The sequence below is a fragment of the Homo sapiens genome, chromosome 8 (genome assembly GCF_000001405.40).
Source record: "Homo sapiens chromosome 8, GRCh38.p14 Primary Assembly".
Lineage (NCBI taxonomy): Eukaryota > Metazoa > Chordata > Mammalia > Primates > Hominidae > Homo > Homo sapiens.
The window spans coordinates 133,489,307-133,511,862 of NC_000008.11; the positions used below are offsets into that span (position 1 = coordinate 133,489,307).

The 22,556-nt window shown below is 49.8% G+C and overlaps 1 protein-coding gene across 7 annotated transcripts in view, besides 9 other annotated features; it reads right to left on the reverse strand.

The window, feature by feature from the left end:
* The window catches only part of ST3GAL1 (ST3 beta-galactoside alpha-2,3-sialyltransferase 1), a 117,040-nt gene that overhangs the window by 34,459 nt on the left and 60,025 nt on the right, over positions 1 to 22,556 (reverse strand). For 2 of the 7 annotated variants that reach the window (NM_173344.3, NM_003033.4), the window contains exon 3: positions 9,829 to 9,883. The exons of 2 other annotated variants lie outside the window; for them this stretch is intronic. The gene's annotated coding sequence lies outside the window, so the exon portion shown is untranslated. Of the gene's footprint in view, positions 1 to 231; positions 415 to 9,828; positions 9,884 to 14,507; positions 18,016 to 22,556 lie in introns of those variants that run through there. 3 more of the 7 variants (XM_006716617.3, XM_047422106.1, XM_005251025.6) reach the window with 3 other exon arrangements.
* Positions 1,436 to 1,981: an enhancer, noted in NCBI's record as "H3K4me1 hESC enhancer chr8:134502985-134503530 (GRCh37/hg19 assembly coordinates)". NCBI's record gives its function as "activates a minimal SCP1, AML or CMV promoter by ChIP-STARR-seq in primed H9 embryonic stem cells {active_cell/tissue: H9 hESC(primed)}" and the evidence as "EXISTENCE:reporter gene assay evidence [ECO:0000049][PMID:30033119]".
* Positions 7,802 to 8,021: an enhancer, noted in NCBI's record as "active region_27997". NCBI's record gives its function as "activates an Ori minimal core promoter by ATAC-STARR-seq in GM12878 lymphoblastoid cells {active_cell/tissue: GM12878}" and the evidence as "EXISTENCE:reporter gene assay evidence [ECO:0000049][PMID:35858748]".
* Positions 9,625 to 9,684: an enhancer, noted in NCBI's record as "active region_27998". NCBI's record gives its function as "activates an Ori minimal core promoter by ATAC-STARR-seq in GM12878 lymphoblastoid cells {active_cell/tissue: GM12878}" and the evidence as "EXISTENCE:reporter gene assay evidence [ECO:0000049][PMID:35858748]".
* Positions 9,695 to 9,744: an enhancer, noted in NCBI's record as "active region_27999". NCBI's record gives its function as "activates an Ori minimal core promoter by ATAC-STARR-seq in GM12878 lymphoblastoid cells {active_cell/tissue: GM12878}" and the evidence as "EXISTENCE:reporter gene assay evidence [ECO:0000049][PMID:35858748]".
* Positions 10,215 to 10,314: an enhancer, noted in NCBI's record as "active region_28000". NCBI's record gives its function as "activates an Ori minimal core promoter by ATAC-STARR-seq in GM12878 lymphoblastoid cells {active_cell/tissue: GM12878}" and the evidence as "EXISTENCE:reporter gene assay evidence [ECO:0000049][PMID:35858748]".
* Positions 10,500 to 11,025: an enhancer, noted in NCBI's record as "H3K27ac-H3K4me1 hESC enhancer chr8:134512049-134512574 (GRCh37/hg19 assembly coordinates)". NCBI's record gives its function as "activates a minimal SCP1, AML or CMV promoter by ChIP-STARR-seq in naive H9 embryonic stem cells {active_cell/tissue: H9 hESC(naive)}" and the evidence as "EXISTENCE:reporter gene assay evidence [ECO:0000049][PMID:30033119]".
* Positions 11,455 to 11,544: an enhancer, noted in NCBI's record as "active region_28001". NCBI's record gives its function as "activates an Ori minimal core promoter by ATAC-STARR-seq in GM12878 lymphoblastoid cells {active_cell/tissue: GM12878}" and the evidence as "EXISTENCE:reporter gene assay evidence [ECO:0000049][PMID:35858748]".
* Positions 12,323 to 12,823: an enhancer, noted in NCBI's record as "H3K4me1 hESC enhancer chr8:134513872-134514372 (GRCh37/hg19 assembly coordinates)". NCBI's record gives its function as "activates a minimal SCP1, AML or CMV promoter by ChIP-STARR-seq in primed H9 embryonic stem cells {active_cell/tissue: H9 hESC(primed)}" and the evidence as "EXISTENCE:reporter gene assay evidence [ECO:0000049][PMID:30033119]".
* Positions 13,714 to 13,783: a silencer, noted in NCBI's record as "silent region_19564". NCBI's record gives its function as "represses an Ori minimal core promoter by ATAC-STARR-seq in GM12878 lymphoblastoid cells {active_cell/tissue: GM12878}" and the evidence as "EXISTENCE:reporter gene assay evidence [ECO:0000049][PMID:35858748]".

Genomic DNA, 22,556 nt, shown 5'->3' on the forward strand with positions numbered 1-22,556 from the left:
CAGCTGACAATGTGGTCTAAGCAATGAGTGCCCCAGGAGCTGTGCCCCACAGAAAGCCATGCCTCCCGCCCCTCCCCGGACACCCCTCTGAGGCGCTGGCCACCTCAGAGGATTTGCAAGAAGCACGTGGGTCAGCTGGATGCCCTGAGCCCTGGCCTCCCCTCCACCTTGGGTAGCTGCTCTCGCTAGAATCTGCCCAAACTCTGCTCCAACTGCTGCTGGGGCACTCACCCATCGGGAGATTTCATCCTCAGGCTCATGACACTGATAGGGTCTTTGGCAGGGATGGCACCAGGGGATCCCTTGCACCACTCAGCCAAGTTCAACACATTCCAGGTCCCACCAGGGGGACACTCCAAGAAGCCTGTCCCCCAAGCTCCCTGATGACAGCATCAGTCCCTCCCATAGAAATGTAGTCAACACCAGTAGAGCCAGAGGGCAAGGTCCCCTTAGCCCGCCCATGGCTGCTCCAATCAGCGCCTGTGGCTTGACCACCGCCCACTCCTGGGCCCCTCTTGGAGTTTGATCTGCTGGGTCCTCTCCTGTTGTTCTCTGACTCCTGCCGGGCTTAAATATCAAAGAATCCTCATTGTTTGATAAGCCTGCAGACAAAAGCCCATGGAATATCTCTAACTAGATCTAGTGGCCTCTGGTCTGCCCCTCCTTCTCTCCAACTCACTCCCTCCCCAACTTATCTGTGCATGCCTGACCCATCCATAGCTAATACATTTCTTGTGTGTGGATGCCTGGCGAAAGTCCCCAGGGGCTCTTCGGGCAGGCATTTGCTCTTTGGGCAGAGAAGGAAGTTGGGCTTTGAGAGACTACGCAGTATTTTAGGGACTAGCTAAAGTGCAGTTCCAGGTCCTATGAGGGAGGTGACACCATAATCCCATTTTACAGAAGGGGATGCTGAGGCCCTTGGGTATCAGTGGCTTACTCCAGGTCACATGGCTAGGAAGGGGTGAGGGCCGATTCCTGAGCCTGCTCTTCCATGCTCCACTGCCGTACCTCACCCAGGTACCCAAGCATGCCTGCGATGCTTCAAGAACACAGCTGGCGGCATGCGTATCTTCACTGCTAGATAGCGAAGCCGCACACTAGGCCGGCTCCAGGATCTAGCCCAGGGCAGTTCACACGCATAAATCTGCTCAGGAGGAACCAGTGCCTCCCAAGACATGATGCCAAGGGCCTTAGTGATCCACAAGTGGCAGGTGAATGACAACCAAAGGGAGAGGGAAGGCTGTGTAAGGCAGGTGGCCATGGAGACAGGGGGCATAGCACTGATGGAGGAGGGCAGAGGGGGAGGGTAAACCAGGCCTGTGCCCAAAAAAGCACATGGTGGTGATGATGGAGACGCTGGTATGTTACAGAAAACAGGGCGCCCTTCAGAGGGGCTGCTGTGGGTGGAGCTGGATCGTGGAAGTCCTGAGGAACGTGGACTTGGGGACTGAAGGCAAAGGGGAGCCCGGCTGGCTTGTGAGCAGCAGACAGTAGTGATTGCAACTGGCACATCGTGGCTGGACTGGAGAGGGGTGCACAGGACACCCTGTGGGAGTCTAGAGAGTGGCCCGGTCTCCATGAGCATGACTTGGGAAGTCCGTTTCCTTTGGAGCCTGTTTCCCTGCTCCTTTCTGCATCGGCGCCTGCCCATTTGCCCCACAGCCCAGCAGTGCCAGCAGGTTGGGAGAACCCTTCGATGTGCTTGCAAATCTTCCTCTTTGCACCTTAGTGCCTCCTGCTTGTTCCTTTGCTGGGGAAGTCGGGGAAAAAAAAGATTCTGCTGAAGCACAAATAGTGGCTCAGAGTAGGCAGTGTGGAGAAGTGCCCCAGAGAAACACGATTAACCAGGATTAGGGTCACATGAGAAGGAGGCGAATATGTTTTCATATTCATAGCCTCACAAAAAGAATTTAAATCCACAAATCTTCTTATGTGTGTGGATCGAGGAGTGCTACATTTGGAGTCCTAGGATAGCCAAATGACATTAGAAGCGTGTAACGTGGCTGGGAATTCCAGGGGTTGCACTATGCGCGCACCCAGGCTCACACCTGTCCCAGAAGAAAGGATTTCCCCCCATTTGGGTGGTGCTGGAGGCTGATAAAGAAGAGACAATTCAGAGCTCCTAATGCCCCTTACACCTGCCCTCAGGCATCTGTCGCTGGTTCTAAAACCCTCAGCATAAAGGAAGGGCTGGAGGTGTGGCCGCTCTGGAGCCGAGATTCACAGTCTGACACGTGGCTTAAAGAGGCCCCTTTCTCCCTAGTCCGTGACTTCACGGAAATATTTTAATGCTACTGATTTTCAGGGGCATCCAGGAGGTGCCTGAAGGAGCTGAGGGGCAGCCTCTAGCAGTGTCCCTAATGGGGATTAAGATCACGTTATAAACCCAGCTACTACAATGGCGAGGCATGCAGCACCCTCCAGGGTTCCGGGATGGGTGGGAGCGTCAGGCGACAGCAGGCATTTCGCATGAACCATCCCATCCCTACACACTGAAGGTTGGAGGGGTGTCACGGTGTCCAGTTGGATCACAGGATTAAACTGCCCTGGCCCAGGCTCAGCCCCACCCCCATACCTGGGCCCCAGAGGAGAGGAAGAGTAGCTCTCATCAGAAAGGGCCCAGCAGTCAGGAAAGGAGGGAGACCTTGCCCTCTTGACCAGGGGCTGCCAAGCTGTCCAGTGGGAGGAGCGAAAACATGGGTGGCCGGAGCATATGGGCAAGGATCGGCACCACGGGGTCAGGGCATGCTCAGAGCAGCTGAGGCCTGGCAGCCCTGGTGAGGCTCGGGATGGACGATACGAGGGGACACTGGGCAGCTTGGACCAGCAGAGGCCCAGCAAGCAGGTGGGAGAACAGAGGCCAGTTCTGACCAGGAGGCATTCCCAGAGCCTGTCCCTGGGGGTCAGGAGGCGTGGACCATGGAGAGACTGAGATACTAGTATTGATGTCTCCCCAAGTGCACCCCCAGCTCATGAGTCCTGGAGATGGCTGGGGAAGAAAGCACTGGGTCCTGTCCCTAAAGTGCACCAACTCTGTGCCAGGCTCCAAGTCAGCACTTCTCTTAGGTTGCTTGTTTGACCTCAACAGCTTTACCAAGGGGTGGTATGTTCTCTTTCAAAGTGAAGAAATGGGGCCAGGCGTGGTGGCTCAAGCCTGTAATCCTAGCACTTTGGGAGGCTGCAGCAGGTGGATCACTTGAGGTCAGGATTTCCGAGACCAGCCTGGCCAACATGGTGAAACCCTGTCTTTACTGAAAATACAAAAATTATCTGGGCGTAGTGGCATGTGCCTGTAATCCCAGATACTGGGGAGGCTGAGGCATGAGAATTGCTTGAACCTGGGAGGTGGAGGTTGTAGTGAGCTGAGATCGCACCACTGCACTCCAGCCTGGGTGACAGAGCAAAACTCTGTCTCAAAAAAATAAGATAAAAGGTGATCCAAACAGCCCGGCTCCAGAGGCCCAGCTCTTCATGCTAAGAATCTACCTTTCGGCCTCAGCTGGTCTCTCTGGATGGCGCCCATACCCCACCTCGGGGAGCGTCCATGCGGCAGGGGGAGTTCACCTCCACTCAGCCCTACTCTGCCCACTCTCCCCACAAAGTGATCACGAGTGCTCCTCACCCTCCGTCCAATAAGGAGGCGACTCTGGCAGGAGAGATAAACTGAGCTACGCCGAATGACCGCTGGGAATGGCCAAACACCCTCATGGCCAGAGGTGCTAGAGACAGCTCTGTCCCAGCTCTGTCTGAGCTGGCCACCAGGTAGGCATCCAACACTGGGAGTGTGCCTCCCATCCCACACTGCAGTCCTTTCCGGGACCTCCCAGGGGTGGGAGGACTGGACGCACTGTCCCCAGCTGATCATTAGAAGGCCTCCCACATAGGGAACACAGCATTTTAAAAACATCTTGTTCTGCTCAACTTTAAAACACACAAGTCTCATTTTATCTCCTCCCACAATGCAGTGATAAGAGGTGGGCCTTGCCAAGGCTGGCTGTACTGCTTGGGTCTTGGAGAGAAACGAAGACTGGAAGGGCAGGAGGTCTAGGGACGGCGATGGCAGAATGTGCCCAGCACTGGCTAGAGACCGCCATCTGAATTCCAGCTGTAATGCTTGGCCAGCTGGCTGAGCATCCTGGGGTGGGTGGAGGGTGCACATGAGTTTGCATGTGGGGGATGCTGTGTATAAGCCTCAGCTCCCTTCAGATGTACAGAATGGGGCAGGAGGAAGAAACATGATCTAAAGAAAAACCACCCTGACTGGGCGTGGTGGCTCATGCCTGTAATCCCAACATTTTGGGAGACCCAGGCAGGTGGACCACAAGGTCAGGAGTTTGAGACCGGCCTGGCCAATATGGCGAAATCCTGTCTCCACTAGAAATATAAAAAATTAGCCAGGCATGGTGGCATGTGCCTGTAGTCCCAGCTACTCGGGAGGCTAAGGCAGGAGAATCACTTGAACCTGGGAGGTGGAGGTTGCAGTGAGCTGAGATCACGCCACTGCACTCCAGCCTGGGCGACAGAGCAAGACTCTGTATCAGGAAAAAAAAAAAAAAAGAGAGAGAGAGGCCACCCTAGCTATTTTCTCTTGCCTCTCTGGGGTTCTGACTCTTTTCACCTTCTTCTCTCTCCTTCTCCCCTAAATGACCAACACCACCCTTTATCCAGGAAGACGCTGGCAGGCACATTTTGCAAGCATGTCTGAGTGTGTGTGTGTTATGCACTAGAGCTACAAAGCAAACATTAATAGCTTCTCAGTGAAGAAAAGGGATAATCAAAAACCTAGAAGGATAAATTATTAGGAAGAATTTGCTGTTTCTTATTAACGCAGAGAATAAGCACAGGGTCTTCAGATTCAATTTCTATTTACAAGACCCCACAATATGCCTGGGAAGCAATGTTCTCCCTATTTTGCAGGTAAGACATGCAGGCTGAGAGAATAAGAGCCTTCTGATACACTGTGCCCTGGAATCTGTTCCAAGATTCTCATTCCTATTTGTTGACTGAGGCTCAGCTTCTGAAAGTATGGACTGAGTTATCATTCCCCTTCAAACTCAGAAGAGTTCCCTCTGAGCTCAGGCTTTGTGCACAAAAAGCAGTGAGATCTTTCCCACTTTACAACACTCCTGACCCAGGAATCTCATGTCTTCTGCCAGGATCCATGAAACACTAACAGGCTAACTTGTTAGTAGCAGCAGGATAAAAGCAAATCCCAGACCTTGCAGCCTCTCCTGGCCTCTTCCATGCTATTTTCTGCTTATGCCCCTACCTACCTGAAGCCTCCAGTGGGTTCTCTGCACACCCACAATGCAATCCAAGGCTCTCACCAAGGCCTGCAAGATCCTACATGAACTGGTCCCTGCCTACTCTCTGATTCCATTTTCCACGACTTTTCCTTGCTCACTCCAGCTCAGCCTCCATGCTGTCCCTCAAGCAGGCCAAGCACAGGACCTACACACAGCCTATCTGCTCTGCCCAGAATGCTCTTCCCACAGGTAGTAAGGTCATTCCTTTACTCAATTCAGGGTGCTGGGTCACATGGCAAATCCTTGCAGCAACTGTCCCTGAACCATGATGTGTATCGGCCTCTGCGTTTTTCCTCTATTCTTTTTTTTTTTTTTTTTTTTTTTGAGACAGAGTCTCGCTCTGTCACCCAGGCTGGAGTGCAGTGGCACGACCTTGGCTCACTGCAACCTTCACCTCCTGGGTTCAAGCAATTTTCCTGCTTCAGCCTCCTGAGTAGCTGGGACTACAGGTGTGTGCCACCACGCCCAGCTAATTTTTTGTGTTTTTAGTAGAGATGGGGTTTCACTATATTAGCCAGGATGGTCTCCATCTCCTGACCTGGTGATCCGCCTGCCTCAGCCTCCCAAAGTGCTGGGATTACAGGCATGAGCCACCGTGCCCAGCCTCCTCTATTCTTTTCCACACACATGACTAACTGGCATTGCATACTTAATACATAGCTGAAAGGATTCCCCGTGCAACTAAGTTTCTTGAACTCAAGGGCTTTCTTAGTTCACTACTGTGTTCCCAGACGAGTGACCCTACACTCTCTTTCACAGTCACCTGGAAAGTAGGCATTATCCCCATCTTATAGAAGAGGAAACTGAGGCTGAGAAGTTCAGCCATTGCAATTTACCCAATTTCGCACTTAATTTCGCACTTAAATTGTTAGACGTAGGATTCAAATCCAGACATGTGCAATGCTAATGCATTGTTTGGAGACACTTCTCCATGAGTTTCTTGCATTCCTACACATCTTGCTGGGTAGACAAAGAATGCAAGGCTCTGACTGCTCTGTACCTGGGTTGGGTTTGCAGCAACCAATCCTGAGACATGAGGTAATGTTTCTCTCTGAGACAAAAAGCTGGCTTGCTTGCTGTCTGCCACAAGATGGTGGATACCCCAAGCTCGGTGTTCCTGTCCTATATCGTAACCCATAGCATGTGTGGCATCTATATGGGCGTTCTGCCTGCTCGTCATGACACTTAGTGGGTGAAGGGGAGCAGACACAAAAGCTCATGCTGCTTTTGAACTGCGAATAATAAAGTCAAGAACTTTCTGGAGTTTAACCAAATAGAGAAAGTGGTCAGGTTGCGCCTGAACTGCTGTGGAGGGCACACGCTGTGTCTTATTTAGTCTTAGTAATCTCGGTATGTGCCCCTGGCCCCAGGCCCTCATAAGCACTTGTTTAATTGACAGACGGACAGATGGATAACCCAGTAGTGCTGAATGATGATGGGCTTGCTGGTCAACCACTGAGCTGCCTGCTCCTTGGAGGGAGGCTACAGGGCTGGGCTCCGAGTCACACAGCGCAGGAGTTTTTTGAGCCTTTCTTAAGAGAACCCTTCAGGAGCTTACAGGCCAGAAATCAGATAAAATTGCATCCTGAGTATTATTTTTCCAGCTGAGTAAGATGCAGTTAATGGAAGGCTTAATACATACTTCTGAGCCCTGCGGAAAGAGAGACATTCTGCTGCTTCTGGAAATGAGTTTCTGGTTCTGCAGCCACAGGTCTCAGGTGAAGGAGAGGTGAGAATGGGCTGAAGCTCCAGTCTATATGTGCAAGACAGGATCACCAAGGTACTGCCCTTCCTTCCTAGGACATCTCTTTGCTAAGAGCCAGAGGTCTACAAAATCAAAGGGGAGCTGACAGAAGCCCCGTCCCCATGCCTGGCTACTACCTGCCTTAGAAGCAAAGGTTGTAGCATTTCCAGATCACAGAGGAACACACAGATGACCACACCTTTCTGTTCCATTTTCAGAGTCTCCAGGAGGGGGCGTGACTTGCCCAAGGTTGTACACTGGCTGAGGTGGCACTAAGATGAGACCACAGCACCTGAGGAGACACCTGGCCCTGCTGTGGAGCCCAGGGTTCTGGTTCCTAGAGCGCCTGGAGCCTCGGAGCAACTTTCCTGAGACGGGGACCAGGGCCTCTCTCGGCCATAATGGGCTCAATCCTGAACTCAGGTATGCTGATGCTCTGGGATTGTCCAGGCCACGGCACCCAAGGGGGATGGGGCTGTTTTTCCCAAATACCACCCCTCTTCCGAGTTCTTGGCCCCAGGAGCCCTTCTTTTTTAACAACTCACAAATCTATGTGAGCAAAATAAAAACAGAAAACAAAGTCAGAGAGAACCTGGGGTCCCTAACTTCTCAGCACGTCTCTTCCAGCACACCCAGCCCCATGAACTGCTCCCCCAGGCTGGTGCCAATACCACCCTGTGATGAAGGAGGGACCTGAGCCCGCACACAGGGGCCTGAGCCTAATGGCTGTGCCAAGACAGAGGTCTGTCAGCCACTGCACCCCTACCTGGGCCCTGTCTGCCTGCTGCACCTCCCTCCCTGAGCTCAGCACAAGGTCAGCAGTGTAGTTGCCAAAACTGTTTCTTCTGCTATTTCTGTGGTTTTTGAATCCGGATTCCTGCCCTGCCTGGAAAGACGGGCCTGACACAGTGGACTGCAGTGTGCTGTGAACTCACAGCCTTAGTTAAAGAAGGCATTTTGAGAACACATGCAAAGCAAGAAGACAAAACCATTGCAAACTTCACCAAACACAGAAATTGTGCAAAGAGGATTAAGGACTAAGACAAGTAGTTTCCTATTAGAGATACACCTTTCTTCTCTCCCATGCAATTTTGTTGGAATTTTTTTTTTTTTTTTTTTTTTTTTTTTTTGTGAGACGGAGTCTCGCTCTTTTGCCCAGGCTGGAGTGCACGGGCGCAATCTCGGCTAACTGCAACCTCCGTGCCTCCTGGGTTCAAGCAATTCTCCTGCCTCAGCCTCCCGAGTAGCTGGGATTACAGGAGCCCGCCACCATGCCTGGCTAATTTTTGTATTTTTAGTAGAGATAGGGTTTCACCATGTTGGCCAGGCTGGTCTTGAACTCCGGACCTCAGGTGATCCGCCTGCCTCGGCCTCCCAATGTGCTAGGATTACAGGCATGAACCACCATGCCCAGCGGATTTTTCTTGCTACACAACCCCCACCCCACTGCCACATTCCTGCAGACACTTGGAGGTAACTAAGGAAGGGATACTAGAGGTGAGCAGCCACTGTGATGGTAGTGGGGTATGGGAGCAAACACCCAGAGAATCAAACTCAAAGAGCGGGATGTTACACCAAGCACACTCCCTGCCCCAGGGCCTTTGCACCTGCTGTTCCCTCTACCAAAACTGTTCCTACCCCAGAATCCATATGGCTTGCTCACTCACTGCATTCACGTTTCTGTCCAAATGCCTTCCTTGGAGAAGCCTTCCCTGGTCACCCTAAAATCGCTGTCTCTGCCACTTGTTCTGTGGCATTCCCCTTCACAGCCTTCATCAGGAACTGGCGCTCGACAGTGGACTGAATGTCTGTCCCTCTGTCTTCCCCCGCCAGAAGGCAGGCAGTTCATCCGACTCCCTGACTGCTGTGTGCCTGCTGGGAGCAGTGGTAGGCCCTCAATGAGTACATGTGGACTGCAGGGACAGTGAGCTGTGAAACAGCAAAGCGCTCAGCACTCAGGGAGCAAAGATTCATTTTGATTTGTGCCTCCCAAGAGGTGGGGGTGTGGTTGTTTCTGGGCCTCAGTGTCCTTATCTGGAAAATGGGATGATTATAATGAAACTTCCAATGAGCCCTGCCCATGAACAGCCAGGGCTGGTGTCCAGCTAGGGCAGGTGCCCTCAGATCTGTCAACCTCGTGTTTGGAGGGTTTTTTTTTTCTCTAGCTGAGCTCTGCTTGTCCCTGACTGAGCAGACCAACTATCCTCAAAGAAGGGAAGGTAGAACTCAGCCCACAGACTTCCTTTGGCTTTTGCAAAAACAACAAAACCAAAAATACTACAAACCACACGGTGTAACTACGCAACCATCCAGAGTGGTGCTGAGTGAGATTGAGTCCTGCCTGCCGGGCTCCTCTGTGGCTGAGGCAGAATGTGAGGCACACAGCACACGACGAGGCACCTGGGCCCTGCTGTGGGGTCCCAGGGGTCTGGTTCCTAGAGCTCCTGAGGCCTCGGAGCAACCCTCCTGGGAGAACAGACCCAGGCTCCTGCTGGCTACAGTGAGCTCGATCCTGAACCCAGGTGCGCCTAAGCTCCGGGTTTGTCCCGGCCACGGCACCCACTGGGAATGGGGATGTTTTTCTCAAATGCCACCACCCTTCTGAATTTTTGGACCCAGGGGCCCTCTCCTTTCAACCCAGGAATCTGTGTGAGTACCATCAAAACAGAAAACAAAGTCGCAGGTCTCCCCTTTTTAAGGCAAAGAAAGCAAGGCAATTTAGAGCACAGGTTCTGGAGTGAAAGAGAGCTGGGTTCGAATCCCAGCTCTGCCACTTACCGGCTGTGTGACCTCAGTGGAGTCTCTTAACCTCTCTGAACCTCAGTTTCTTCATCTGAAAAACAGAAGAAAATACTCGGGAGACTTAGCATGGGGAGAGGGCGTGAGGATTGGTGAGACAGTTTCTTTCCCTACTTGGCTCAGATATACACAGTAAATGTTAAGTGCTCATGTGAAGCCTCTGAGCCCTTTCAAGCCACTCAGTGTGGGGAGAGAAGAGAGTCACCTAAAGAGCACTGGATGGGAGCCAGGGGACCTACGTGCAGAAGCTTCCTGTCCCAAACTGCAAACAGAAAGCTCTGAACCGCATGATCTCTAAGACCACTTCCTGTTGTAAAAATGCTAAATTTGGAGAGCCTGCCCCAGAGAGTTTTAATCAACATGCAAAACACCGAAATGGGGGAAGAATGAGGCAAAGAGGGCCAGGACAAAGGGCTCTTGCTCAAACCCTGAAGGATGAGGATGGGTGGGGTAGACAGAAAGTGAGAGGATGGCACATCCTTTTTCTGGGACCTGCTGTGTGCCTGGCACTGGGTTAAGGCCTTTCACATACATTATTTAGCCTCATGACAGTCCCTTGGGGTAGCTCCAGCCTCGCCATCACACACAAGGAAACCGAAGCTCGGAGGTCGAGCAGCTCGGCGTACTAAGGGGAGCAAGGGCAGAATGGGGACTGGAATCCAGGTCTGCAGGTCAAAGGCTGTTCTCACCCACCCCCATCCCCAGGGAAGCGTGTGCACTCGCAACAGGGCTGGGGGCAGGTCACAGATCTCACTGGGCAGGGGCGGGAGGTAGTTCTGAGTCTGGCATATTCTTCTAACTGGCAGGAAACAGACAGCTAGGCATTTTGCGAAGGAACAGAGAGACGTGAATCTAAGACTCAAGATCAGAGAAGTGGTGTTGTCATTGTTGTAATGTTTTTCCTAAATCTTGAATGAGAAGAGGGTGCTCAGTTGAGGGCAATAACAAATGATAATCATGCTCTACCCACAGCTGGCAGCAGCTTTGGTCACAGCTGCTTTTGCTCCTGTCACCTGTAATGCACTTTTCCACCAGGGACAGGGATAAAAAGAACTTTCTGAGCTGTTAAGACCGCCTGGGCCTCATTCTCACCCTCTCCCCATGCCCCATCAATAATGGATGAGTCTGAGGCCCTCAGACGTTAATATCACACCAAGAGGCCCACGGGGGCCAGAAGGAGGGAGGAGGTGCCTAGGGTGGGGCTGCCCTGCCTCTGACTCTCTAAAGAAACAACTCGAAAGGGACATTTTTAGTATAATTACAAGTAAGTACTTTTCAGAACAAGCAACACCTGCTCTTTGCGTCCTTTTCCCCAACACTGCAGGGAAGGTTATAGGGAGGAGACACAGCTTAACATAACTAATGTCACCTGGGTCTGAGGGCAGTGATGAGGGTGGGGGGCTATGAAGCGAGACAGCCTGGGTCCAATTCTCAGCCCTGTCATTCACTGGCTGTACATCCTGCCAGGAGTCACTTAACCTCACTGTGCCTCAGTTTCCTCATCTGTAAAGAAAAAGAATAGTAGTCCCCACCTCCTAGGGTTGCCAAGAAGATTAAGAGGATCAATGAATATGAAGTGCGTAAAGCATGCTTGGCCTCTCAGCCATGCTCCCTGAGGGCTGAACTATCATCATCTTCATCATCATCATCACCTTCTACTCTGGGTCAGATGCTGTACATCTCACAGGAGGTATCTTTGTTCCTGTTTCCCTGATGAGGAAGTTGAGACTGAGAAGGTCAAAAATGCACTGAATTAGTCATCATACAAATAATGAATTAGCAGTGAGCTGGGAGGGCACCAAGAACTTTCACCTGGTGCTCTCCTTCCTAACACTGCTGGGCTGAGCCACACCAGGCAAGGGGACTTGGACAGGCTTGGCTGTCCCCACGGCCTTTAATCTGTCTCTCCTCGGCTAACAGAGCTCTCTAATAAACAAACAGCCTCAGACATCGTTCTTTCTAAGCAAGGCCAGATGTGGGAAAGGTAACATGAGCGAGGATAGAAAAATCAACACAGGGTTTTTCAGTGTTGCCATGGAATCCCAAGAGTTCACCCCAAGCCTAGGTCGTTCTGTGTCTGTGGGTGGCTACTCAAGAGCAGGAAAACACTCAGGCTCCTAGTCATAACCAGAAACTGCCCCAGACACAGGCAGCTAGAGTAAGTTCTCCTATGCCCGTCCAGCCCAGCCCTATCCGGCAGGGTCATTAGGTGCTCTCTTGAGGTGGGGAGCAGTAGCTGTGGGAGAGGGTTTGGAGAAGTACTGTCAATTTGGAATCTATAAGAACATTTATGTAAAAGAACAATCTCTCTGGCCGGGTGCAGTGGTTCAGCCTGTAATCCCAGCACTTTAGAAGGTCGAGGTGGGCGGATCACTTGAGGTTAGGAGTTCAAAGACCAGCTTGGCCAACATGGTGAAACCCTGTCTCAACTAAAAATACAAAAATGAGCCAGGTGTGGTGGCAGGCGTCTGTAATCCCAGCTACTCAGGAGGCTGAGGCAGCAGAATCGCTTGAACCCAGGAGGTGGAGGTTGCAGTGAGCCGAGATTGTGCCACTGTGCTCCAACCTGGGTGACAAGAGTGAAACTCCGTCTCAAAACAAACAAACAAACAACAACAACAACCAAAAATCTCTAGGACTTTGGCTCTGAGCACTACCCAATACGTAGGAATAGCCACAGAAGGCCATGGGGAAATGAAATCTGCTGAGATGTCGTGGGCAGAACAAGCCTTGTCTTAATGAGGTGCATCCTGGCTGGCAGAAGATGGTGGCTTGGCCAAAGTCTCCAAGCAGGTCAGCAACACAGCAGGGAGTGCAGCCCAGGGCACCTCAAACCCTGCGTGCCTTCTGTCAACTGCCTCAGGATTCACCGGGGGACTCAAGCATCCATTTCCTGGTCACCTCATTTATGCCAGGAATTGGGAGAGGTTGCCAAAGGACAAAGAAAGCAAATGAGGCATTATCAGTGCAGGGAATAGCCAATATGATAATGTGAGGCCTGCTATCCCTGGGGTACTAAGAGCAGCTTAGCTCTTATTCAGTGCTTGCCTGTAGGCCAGACGCTGTCCTAACCCATTTAAATCATCACAAGAGCCCTGCAGAATTGGCCCTTGCTATGGAATGAACCGTCCCCCACACCCCCACCAAATTCATATGTTGATGCCTTAACCCTCAAGATGACTGTATTTGGAGATAAGGCCTTTAGGAAGGTAATAAGGTTAAATGAGGTCATAATGGTGGGGCCCTAATCTGCTAGAATTGATGTCCTTATAAAAAAAAAAAAAAGAGGTGCCAGAAAGCACTCTCACCATATGCACATAAGAAAGCCATGTGAGGACAAATTAGAAGGCTGCCATTTGCAAGCCAGAAAGAGAGCCCTCATCAGAAACCAACCCTGATGACACCTTGATCTTGGGCTTCCAGCTTCCAGATCTGTGAGAAAATAAATTTCTGTCGTTTAAGCTACCGAGTTTGTGATATTTTGTTATGGTAGTTCTAGCAAATTAATGCAGGACTATAATTATCATCCCCATTTTGCAGTTGAGGAAGCTGAGGCACAGTGTGGTCAAGCACTTTGCTGAAGGCCATATGACTACAACTATTAAGTGACAGAGATAGGAGTCAGACCCAGGCATCTGTCTGCAGAGCCCAGTGTGGCCAACTGCATTATGCAACTATTTATTCCCCTTCTAGCAGCCTCCACCTCTCACTGTGGGAGGACAGACAGTATACCTCCCTGCTCCACTGACATTGGGCTTGGCCATGTCACTTGCTTTGGTTGACAGAGTGTGTGCAGTTCTGGTATGTGCCATCTCTGAGCAGAAAGCTGAAATCTGACTAAGTAGTTCTTTCAGTTCTGGTTAGAGGACAGCATGTCCTGGTTAGCGACTACCTTCACCCTGGACCTTAAACTGAGAAAATTCACAGAGCATTGCTGAGCCACAGCTGACCTGCAGGTTACCCACAGCATTTTCACTTGTAACGAACAAGAAATAAACACCTGTTGCAAGTCACTGAGCTTGGAAGATTTTGTTATGCAGCAAAGCTGACAAACACAGAGTTCCTTTTGCAAGTATTCTAACGCCCCCCAACAAACGTTTGATTTGTAAGAACTGAGTAGATAGTCAGGAGAGCCGACTTCCACTCAGGCTCTGCCATTTTGCAGCTCAGTGGCCATGGATAAGCCATTTCATCTCTGAACTTTAGTTTTCTCATCTGCAAAACAGGGATAATAAGCATCCTTACATTCTGGGGCTGTTGTAAGGATTCAGTGCCTGTAACAATTAGGATCCACTGTCTGCTCCCCCTCCGCCCCATCTCCGCCACCCCTCCTTGAAGGCCCTCCCTCCTTCCTTTCCTTCCTCCCTCCGTCCAGCCCCCCACTTCCTGGCTGCCTTAAGAAACTCCACCCTAGCTGGGCCAATTGTTCTTTGATCAATTGTTTTTCCTTATCTGTGTCTAACCCGCATGGACTCTTCTGCCTGGCTTTTACAAATGGCAAGTACGTCGCAGCTCCACCCTAGGCCTTATCGTTAACAAGGACTTTCCTGAATATCTCCAGATGTAGTGAAAGCAGGTACATGTCAAGTATATGGAACTACATGGCATTTCCTAAAAATAACTGAACGAGAGTGGAGAAAAAAACATGCACTGCCCACCTTGAAAGGCAGAGATGGCAGCACTGTGAATTATGTTTACGATGAGGTGATGCATTAGGGCTGAAGATAGAGGAGTCTGGATTAGAATCAAGTGCTGCTCTTTCAGCACAGCCTTACAGTAGGTGCTCCCTCAGCCAGGCAGTGTGGGATGTCTACACTGTACATGGAGAGGAGGGGAGGCTGGTCCTGCTCAGGGAGGTGGCAGAAAGGAGGCTGGGAGGAGCAGAACTTCACTGGGTTCCTGTGAAGGCTGGGCTTTCCCAGCCTGGAGGATCACTGAAGCCCAGCATGGAAGGTGGGGAGGGAGGGCATCTGGAGAGTCTGACTCCTCTCCCCCTCCTCCAGTCCTGCATCATAGATGAGAAACTAAGGCCTGGAAAAGGGCAGTGCCTTCCCCAAGGTCATGGAGCCAGCCAGCCTCAGAACTTGGACTAGAACCCAGTCTCCTGAGACCTGCTCAGTCATCATTCCATCGCTGGGCCTCCTGCTCAGTTAGAAGGAAATGAGATTCATCCCTTTTGCTGGCTTGGAAGGCAAATGTCAAGTTTCTCTGCTCTTGTGGGTGGATTTACCAAAACTCAATCCAATCCAATCAGCTTTTCTTTGAGTCATTTCAAAACATCTCCCGTTTCTGGGAAAGAATCAAGCCCATTCACCCACTGCCTGGGGCCTGGAACTGAAAGTGGGTAGTGAAGTGGGAAGTCAATCCCAGGCATAAAATAATAGCTGCTTGTTTCTGGTTTGGTTTTTTGAGTCCTTATTTGTTAGTTTGTTTTTCCCCCAAGTCCTGAGATAGGCCATGCTGGGGGAGAGTGGCCACAGGAAGGTACAGGCTCTGCCCTCAAGAGCTTCCACTCAAGAGTATGAGATAGGACCTTCTATGGTCGAGAAGAGACAGGGGAATTCAGCATAGGTTGGGCTGGGCAGGGAAGGCTTCGGAGAGGAGGTCAGACTGGCAACTCTTCTGGAAAATGGGAAGAAGATGACAAGGCAGAAGAGAAAAGGAATTCTAGTCTTGGAGGGTAAAGTTTTGAAAAGGAGTGAGGAGGACAAACATTCCAGATTTTTGTTTTTTCGGGGGATCTAGGGGGAAGTAGAAAGAGTTGGTAATGGGGAGGAGAATCCACGATCTCGAAGTTCAGGAAGTTGGGTGAGAGTGAGCCTCAGTTTCTTCATCTGCTAAACAGAAAAGACGGGCTAACTCTGCAGACACCTGGGGGTGGTCAATGATGTAGTACATGTGAAACATCCCAGAACAGGCACTGCAGACAATTTGGAGTTGCAGTATCCAATGCAGGATCCATGGTTGACAGACAATTCTTCATGGGTCTCTTGCACTTCTGTGTGTCTTGCAAGCAGAAGCACTGACAGCCTTCTTTTCTGAACTACCTTTTTAAGGAGGCACAGAGCCTGGAACATAGAGATAGTGTCTCCTTCCAGAGCAGGGCTCAGGTGTGCTTACTCTCCAGTATCATAAAGATAATGCCTCCCTCCAAGAGAGAAGTTGAGTAGGTTCACTTGCAGCCCATTATAATAAAAGATTGTGGTTCCTCATCTATGAAGCAAGCCCGTGGGTCTTGGGGTACAAGTAGAAATGATGTAAACATGAAACTTAAGGCTGCCTGCCGTGCTGGAGTAAAGTCTTTTGGCTCTGATCCAGGAAGCTGCTATCTTTTGTCAGCATCTGCCAACGAGCTAATTTGTTGGCTTGCAAATAGGTTGACATCTCAGGTCTGTCACAGTTCTTTATATCTACTAGCCTCACGTGGCTATTTCTTTTCTTTCTTTTCTTTTCTTTTTTTTTTTGAGACGAAGTTTCACTCTTGTCGCCCAGGGTGGAGTGCGGTGGTGCAATCTTGGCTCACTGCAATCTCCACCTCCTGGGTTCAAGCGAGTCTCCTGCCTCAGTCTCCTGAGTAGCTGGGATTACAGGTGTGTGCCACCATGCCTGGCTAATTTTTGTATTTTTAGTGGAGACAGGGTTTCACTATATTGGCCAGGCTAGTCTCGAACTCCTGACCCCACAATCCACCCACCTCGGCCTCCCAAAGTGCTGGAATTACAGGCGTGAGCCACTGCACTCACCTGCTATTTCTAATTAAACTTATATTTTAAATTTAAAATACAAGTCCTCAGTTGCACTCATTAATTAACTAATTAATGCCACTAATTAAATTAACTGAATTAAAATAGAATAAAATTTAAAGAACAGTTCCTCCGTTGCACCAGCTCAATTTCAAGTGCTTAACAGTCTCATGTGGCTAGCAGCTACTGACCTGGGCAGTACCGACATAGAGCATTTCCATCATCAGGAAAGTTCTATTGGAGAGTGCTGACCGAGAAGTAGAGAGCACAGGTTCTGGGCCAGACTGACTTGCATTAACCCTTGTTCTATTCCTCACTGGCTTTGAGACTTTGAATAGGTTATTATACCTCACTGAGTTCCAATTTTTCATCTGTAAGATGAGAACAACAGGACTGACCTGATGGGGTCCTTGTGAGGCTCACACAAGACAACACGTACAAAGCGATCTGCCCAGCTTGGGCATGTGGCAAGGGCTCCCTAAATAAGAGCAAATATTTTTAGGTATTAAGCAAATAAATGGCAGATCTCCTTTGTATTACAGTGGGAGATGGTGATGGGCAACCTTGAAAGATAGGATTGGTTGGAAGAAACTTGGCAAACTGCGGCTGGGCACGGTGGCTCACGCCTGTAATCCCAACACTTTGGGAGGCAGAGGTGGGCAGATCACCAGAGGTCAGGAGTTCGAGACCAGCCTGGCCAACATGGTGAAACCCCGTTTCTACTTAAAATACAAAAATTAGCCGGGCGTGGTGGTACGCACCTGTAATCCCAGCTACTCAGGAGGCTGAGGCAGGAGAATTGCTTGAATCTGGGAGGCGGAGGTTGCAGTAAGCCGAGATCGTGCCATTGCACTCCAGCTTGGGGGACAAGAGTGAGACTTTGTCCCAAAAAAAAGAAAAAAAAAGCTGGGCTGGGTGTGGTGGCTCACGCCTACAATCCCAACACTTTGGGAGGCCGAGGTGGGTGGATCACAAGGTCAGGAGATGGAGACCATCCTGGCGAACACGGTGAAACCCTGTCTCTACTAAAAAATAAATATATAAATAAATAAATAAATAATAAATAAAAATAAAAATAAAGAAACTTGGCAAACTGCAGAGGGACCTCAAAACCCAGGCCTACAAGTTAGTCCTTGACCCAGAGACATTTGGGAGCCTCAGAAGATTATAGGCAGCAGGAAGGAAAGACAGAAATCCAAGAATTCCACATAAGAAACGTGTTCTAGACTCTGGAGTCCAAGTAATTTGGTGTTTGAATCAGATGCCAGGTGACAGTAGGGAAGAGAAATGAGTGTGCTACCATGCTGTTGGGGAAAGATGGACATTCTCAACTCCACCACTCATCAGTAGAGGAAACCACAGGATAAGGTTCCTTGACTTCCCTCTTTGCTCTCTGAAGTCCTGCAGTGCCTTCTGGGTCTGCCTGGAGAAAGAGAAAGAACAGGAAGGCACAGTCTTGTGATGCATCTTCCCCACAACCCACGCCCATGGCGATGGTAGGGAAGAGCATAGGCTTTGGCCCAGGAGGGTTGGCTTCGAGTCCTGGCACTGCCATTCCTAGCTGTGAAGGTATTCCCAGGAAGGTATTTCACCTCTGCCAGCCACGGCTTCCACCTTGCAGGCACGGGCATTACCAGGCCCATTTCTCGGGGTTGCTGGGAAAGTTAGATGAGATAATATAGGCCAAGTCTCTTGGAGAGTTCCTGGCACATTGTAGGGACATGAAGAAAAGAAGACGTATTGTTTCTTTCTTCTCCAGGCCAGCCCAAAGGACGAGCAGGAAACCTGAGCAGCATGGAGGGCAGGGGATGGTAATCAAGAACCACTGGACTTTCCTTAGGTAGCAAATTACGCCCGGTGACCCTCGGAGCCACTTCACCTGGAAAGGCAGGTTTCAGGTTTTCATTTCCTTAGCTGGGGTCAGGCTACCTGGAAGGTGCTGGGTCCCTGCAGAGTAGATGCTGCTGGCACTCTGCCCAGAGGCCTCTTCTGGCTGGGCCACCACCCCTCAGCTGCTGTGACTATTGGCTGCTGACAGCTCACAGCTGTCCCTTGATCCAGAGAACTGCCTCTGGCCACAGAGGAGCTGCCTCCCCTGGGAGGTGCCCACCCTCTCACCCCCCACACCCTAGGCAGCCCACAGACAATGACAGAGGGACATGGGGTTACACAGGGTTGGCCTCCTTTACCTTTTCCTTCAGTTTCCCCCACTGATGGTAAGTACTAGAGTTGAAAAAAAGGCATCTTTCCCCAACAGCGTGGAGGCACACTCATTTCTCTTCCCTACTGCCACCTGGAGTCTGATTCAAACACCAAACTACCTGGACTCCAGAGTCCAGAACACGTTTCTTATGTGGAATTATCGGATTCCTGTCTTTCCTTTCTGCTGCCTATAATCTTCTGAGGCTCCCAAATGTCCCTGAGTCCAGGCCAAATTTTCAGGTTTGTGGGACAGCCTCATGGTACAGTTTGTGCTCTGGGGTTGGCCGTGGGATCAGGCTGAAGGTTGACTCTAGCTGGGAGCACATCCCTGCTCAGCAGCTCCCCTGCGTAGCCCTGTGTCCCCCACCCTTTCCCTGGAACACTTCCTCTGCAATCTACGTGCACGGAGTCCCAGACTCAGGTTCTACAGGGAGGAAACTGAGATCCCTGTTTGAGGCTGATCTCTGCAGCGACTGTAAGGAAGAGACAATCTCAGAAGCAGGGCACTCGCTCAAATTCAGAGACCTTTCTCAAGAGCTGGGAGGATCCTCTATAACCACCGAGTCCAGACTCTTGGCTTTTGTGAGGAACCAGAGCCATTGGTCATTTAGTAAAGACTCGTTGGGTCCCAAGAATGTGCCAGGCTCTCTTTGGGATACTGGAGATACAATGAGGAGTGAAATATATAGTCCCTCTCTGAAAGCTTGTGCATCATACAAAACAGTGCAGATAATGGTAAATGCTTTTGCACAAAACCCCATAAGACTTAGAGGCAAGCAGAAATGACGCAAGTATGAAACTCAAGCTGGCTGCCCGCTGTGCTTTGAGTAATGAAGTCCCTTGTCTCTGATCCAGGAAGCTCCTGTCTTCTGCCAGCATCTGTCAGCAGGCTAATTTGTCAGCTTGCAAATAGGGAGACATCTCAGGCTTGTCACAGTTCTTTACAGTTACTAGCCTCATGTGGCTATTTCCAATTAAAATTAAATTTTAAGTTTAAAATGCAGTTCCTCAGATGCACTCATTAATTAACTAATTAGTGTTCCTAACTAAATTAGCTAATAAATTAAAATAATTAGCTAATTAACTAAAACTGAATGAAATTTAAAGCACAGTTCCTCAGTGTCACCAGCCAAATTTCAAGTGCTTAGTAGCCTCATGCAGTGAGCGGCTACTGAACAGGACAGTACAGATATTGAATATTTCCATCACTGGGAAAGTTCTATCGGAGAACACTGGTTGTGCAGTTGAGGCACAGGGTCTAGGGCCAGACAGACGTGGGTTCCACCCTTGTGTTTCACTTGACGGGAGACTCTGAGTTAGCTATGGAGCCTCTCTAAGGTTCATCTGTAAAATGAGAATAGGACTTCACAAGCCTCCTGTGAGGATCACAGAACATCACTGCAAATGACAGGGCGTGGGGCACCAGGGGGACCATGAGACTGAGCTCCTGAGTGAGCCGCTTGCAAACACCATGTGAGGAGAGCGGAGCTCAGGCGGAGGGACATGCCAGTGGGAGATCACAGGGTGGAAAGTAGCTGGTGGTATTCAGCCGGTGTGGGACAGGTGTGCTGAGTAAAAGGGATAATTTTACAGGACGAGGTCAGTGAGGGAAGCAGAGCTGATCATGTCCCTCTGGAGGGCAGTGAATGTAACCCAGCAAAAATTAGTGAAGGAGGACCAGGCACCGTGGCTAACGCCTGTAATCCCAGTCCTTTGGGAGGCCAAGGCGGGTGGATCAACTGAGGTCTGGAGTTCGAGACCAGCCTGGCCAAAATGGTGACACCCCATCTCTACTAAAAATACAAAAAATCAGCTGGGCTTGGTGGCACACGCCTGTATTCCCAGCTACTCGGGTGGCTGAGGCAGGAGAATTGCTTGAACCCAGAAGGCAGAGGTTGCAGTGAGCCAAGATCACACCATTGCACTCCAGCCTGGGCAACAAGAGTGAAACTCTGTCTCAAAAAAAAAAAAAAAAAAAATAGCAATGGAGAATGGCTCTTCACACTTCTCTCTGGAAACTTCCCCTGGTTTCCCGCTGTCCCTACTGCATCACACACCTGTTTTCAGGGGACTTCCCAGGTTAAGCCTTTCAAAAAATAGATTTCAACAACTGAAGATGAATCCTGGGGAATAAGCCAATTAGTGGCCTTTTGAACACCAGCTCCACTTCCCAAAGTGCTTCTCTGGGCACAATGTGCAGGCAACTATCAGATACGAGGCCAATAAATATACCATCACCCCTTCACCTCACATCATGTGAAACACAGGCTACTGGAAGCTTGGTGAATACCTGCTGCACATCGTTAGAGAGGAACTGAGGCAGAGTGAGCTTTCAGAGATAGTCTGCACCTATCTGAAGAGAGCGGGTCCACTATGTACATGCCGGGCAATTCTAAACCTGTGCTAAAGCATTTGGACCCTCAGACTTCTCCTCTGTAAAATGGGAATGCAAGTAAAAATGAGAGTGGATTGAAAATTTCAGTTTAAAATGCAGTTTTTCAATTGCATTAATTAACTAATTAGTGCCACTAATTAATTAGCTAATTAATTAAAATAATTAGCTAATAATTAAAATGGAATAAAATTTAAAGCACCGTTCCTCAGTTGCACCAGCCCAATTTCAAGTGGATTTACAAACTCCATGCACTCTGAGCAGTGTCTGGTTTTCTCATCATTACTGACAGCGTCATGTTGCCTGGACCCAGTGGTCCTCCTGTACCCCATGGTGGCCACCATAAGCTGAGAACAGCAGAGACTCGGAGCAAACTCCATCACAGGGGAAGGACAGGGAATGAAGCAGGTGACTGCGGCGGCCAATCTTTGGCTCTTTTTTCCTAAGTCCTCACACTGTATGATTCACGCAAATAACCAGTGACCTTTTCAAATAGGATTTTAAATGATAAACAGAAGTGCTTGTAGCCATAGCAGATAGAGGGCAAAGAAATGAAAACCTCGTCATTTTCCTTCTTTAAATCTCCAGCATTATTATCTAGTGCCTGAATTAAATCCTTGTGATACACTTGCACATTTTGGCAGTAAATACTCATCTTAGGGGTTTTAAAAGATCAACAAACACATTTTAAAAATTCTTGTCCAGCCAGAGCTTGCTAAGGACAGGAAAGCAAGGTTATCTGGGCTTGGGGACTTTAATTAACAGTACTTATGGGGAGGTAGATAGGCATTAAATCTGTGGTTCTTGCAAAAGTAGCAAAAGTTAGTGTAATGGAATTGTTCCAGCACATCTAATAACAGAAGGGTGGTTGTATTTATTGAACACCTAGTATGTGACTGGCCCTTGGCCTACAATGGCTAACATTTCCCAGCTATGTAGATGTGCACTGTTTCAGACACTTGATGTGGATTAAGCCATTCAATCTTCCAAACAATCTATTAGTAGGTGACTTATCATCTCTCCATATTTACACAAGCACAAAGAGGTGAAGTCACTTGTTCCAGGGCACACAGCTAGTAGGCAGCAAAGTCAGTCACCCAAACTTAGGTCACCAGGCTCCGGAGTGATGCCAACGTGCCACACCAACAGATACTACCTAAGTTGTCTCACTGCACCTTCACTAGAGACCTTTCGAGTCACATACTATTAGTCAGGGTTCTCTAGAGGGACAGGACTAATAGGATAGATGTATATATAAAGGGGAGTTTATTAAGGAGAAGGCCAGGCACGGTGGCTCATGCCTGTAATCCCAGCACTTTGGGAGGCCGAGGCGGGCAGATCATGAGGTCAAGAGATTGAGATCATTCTGG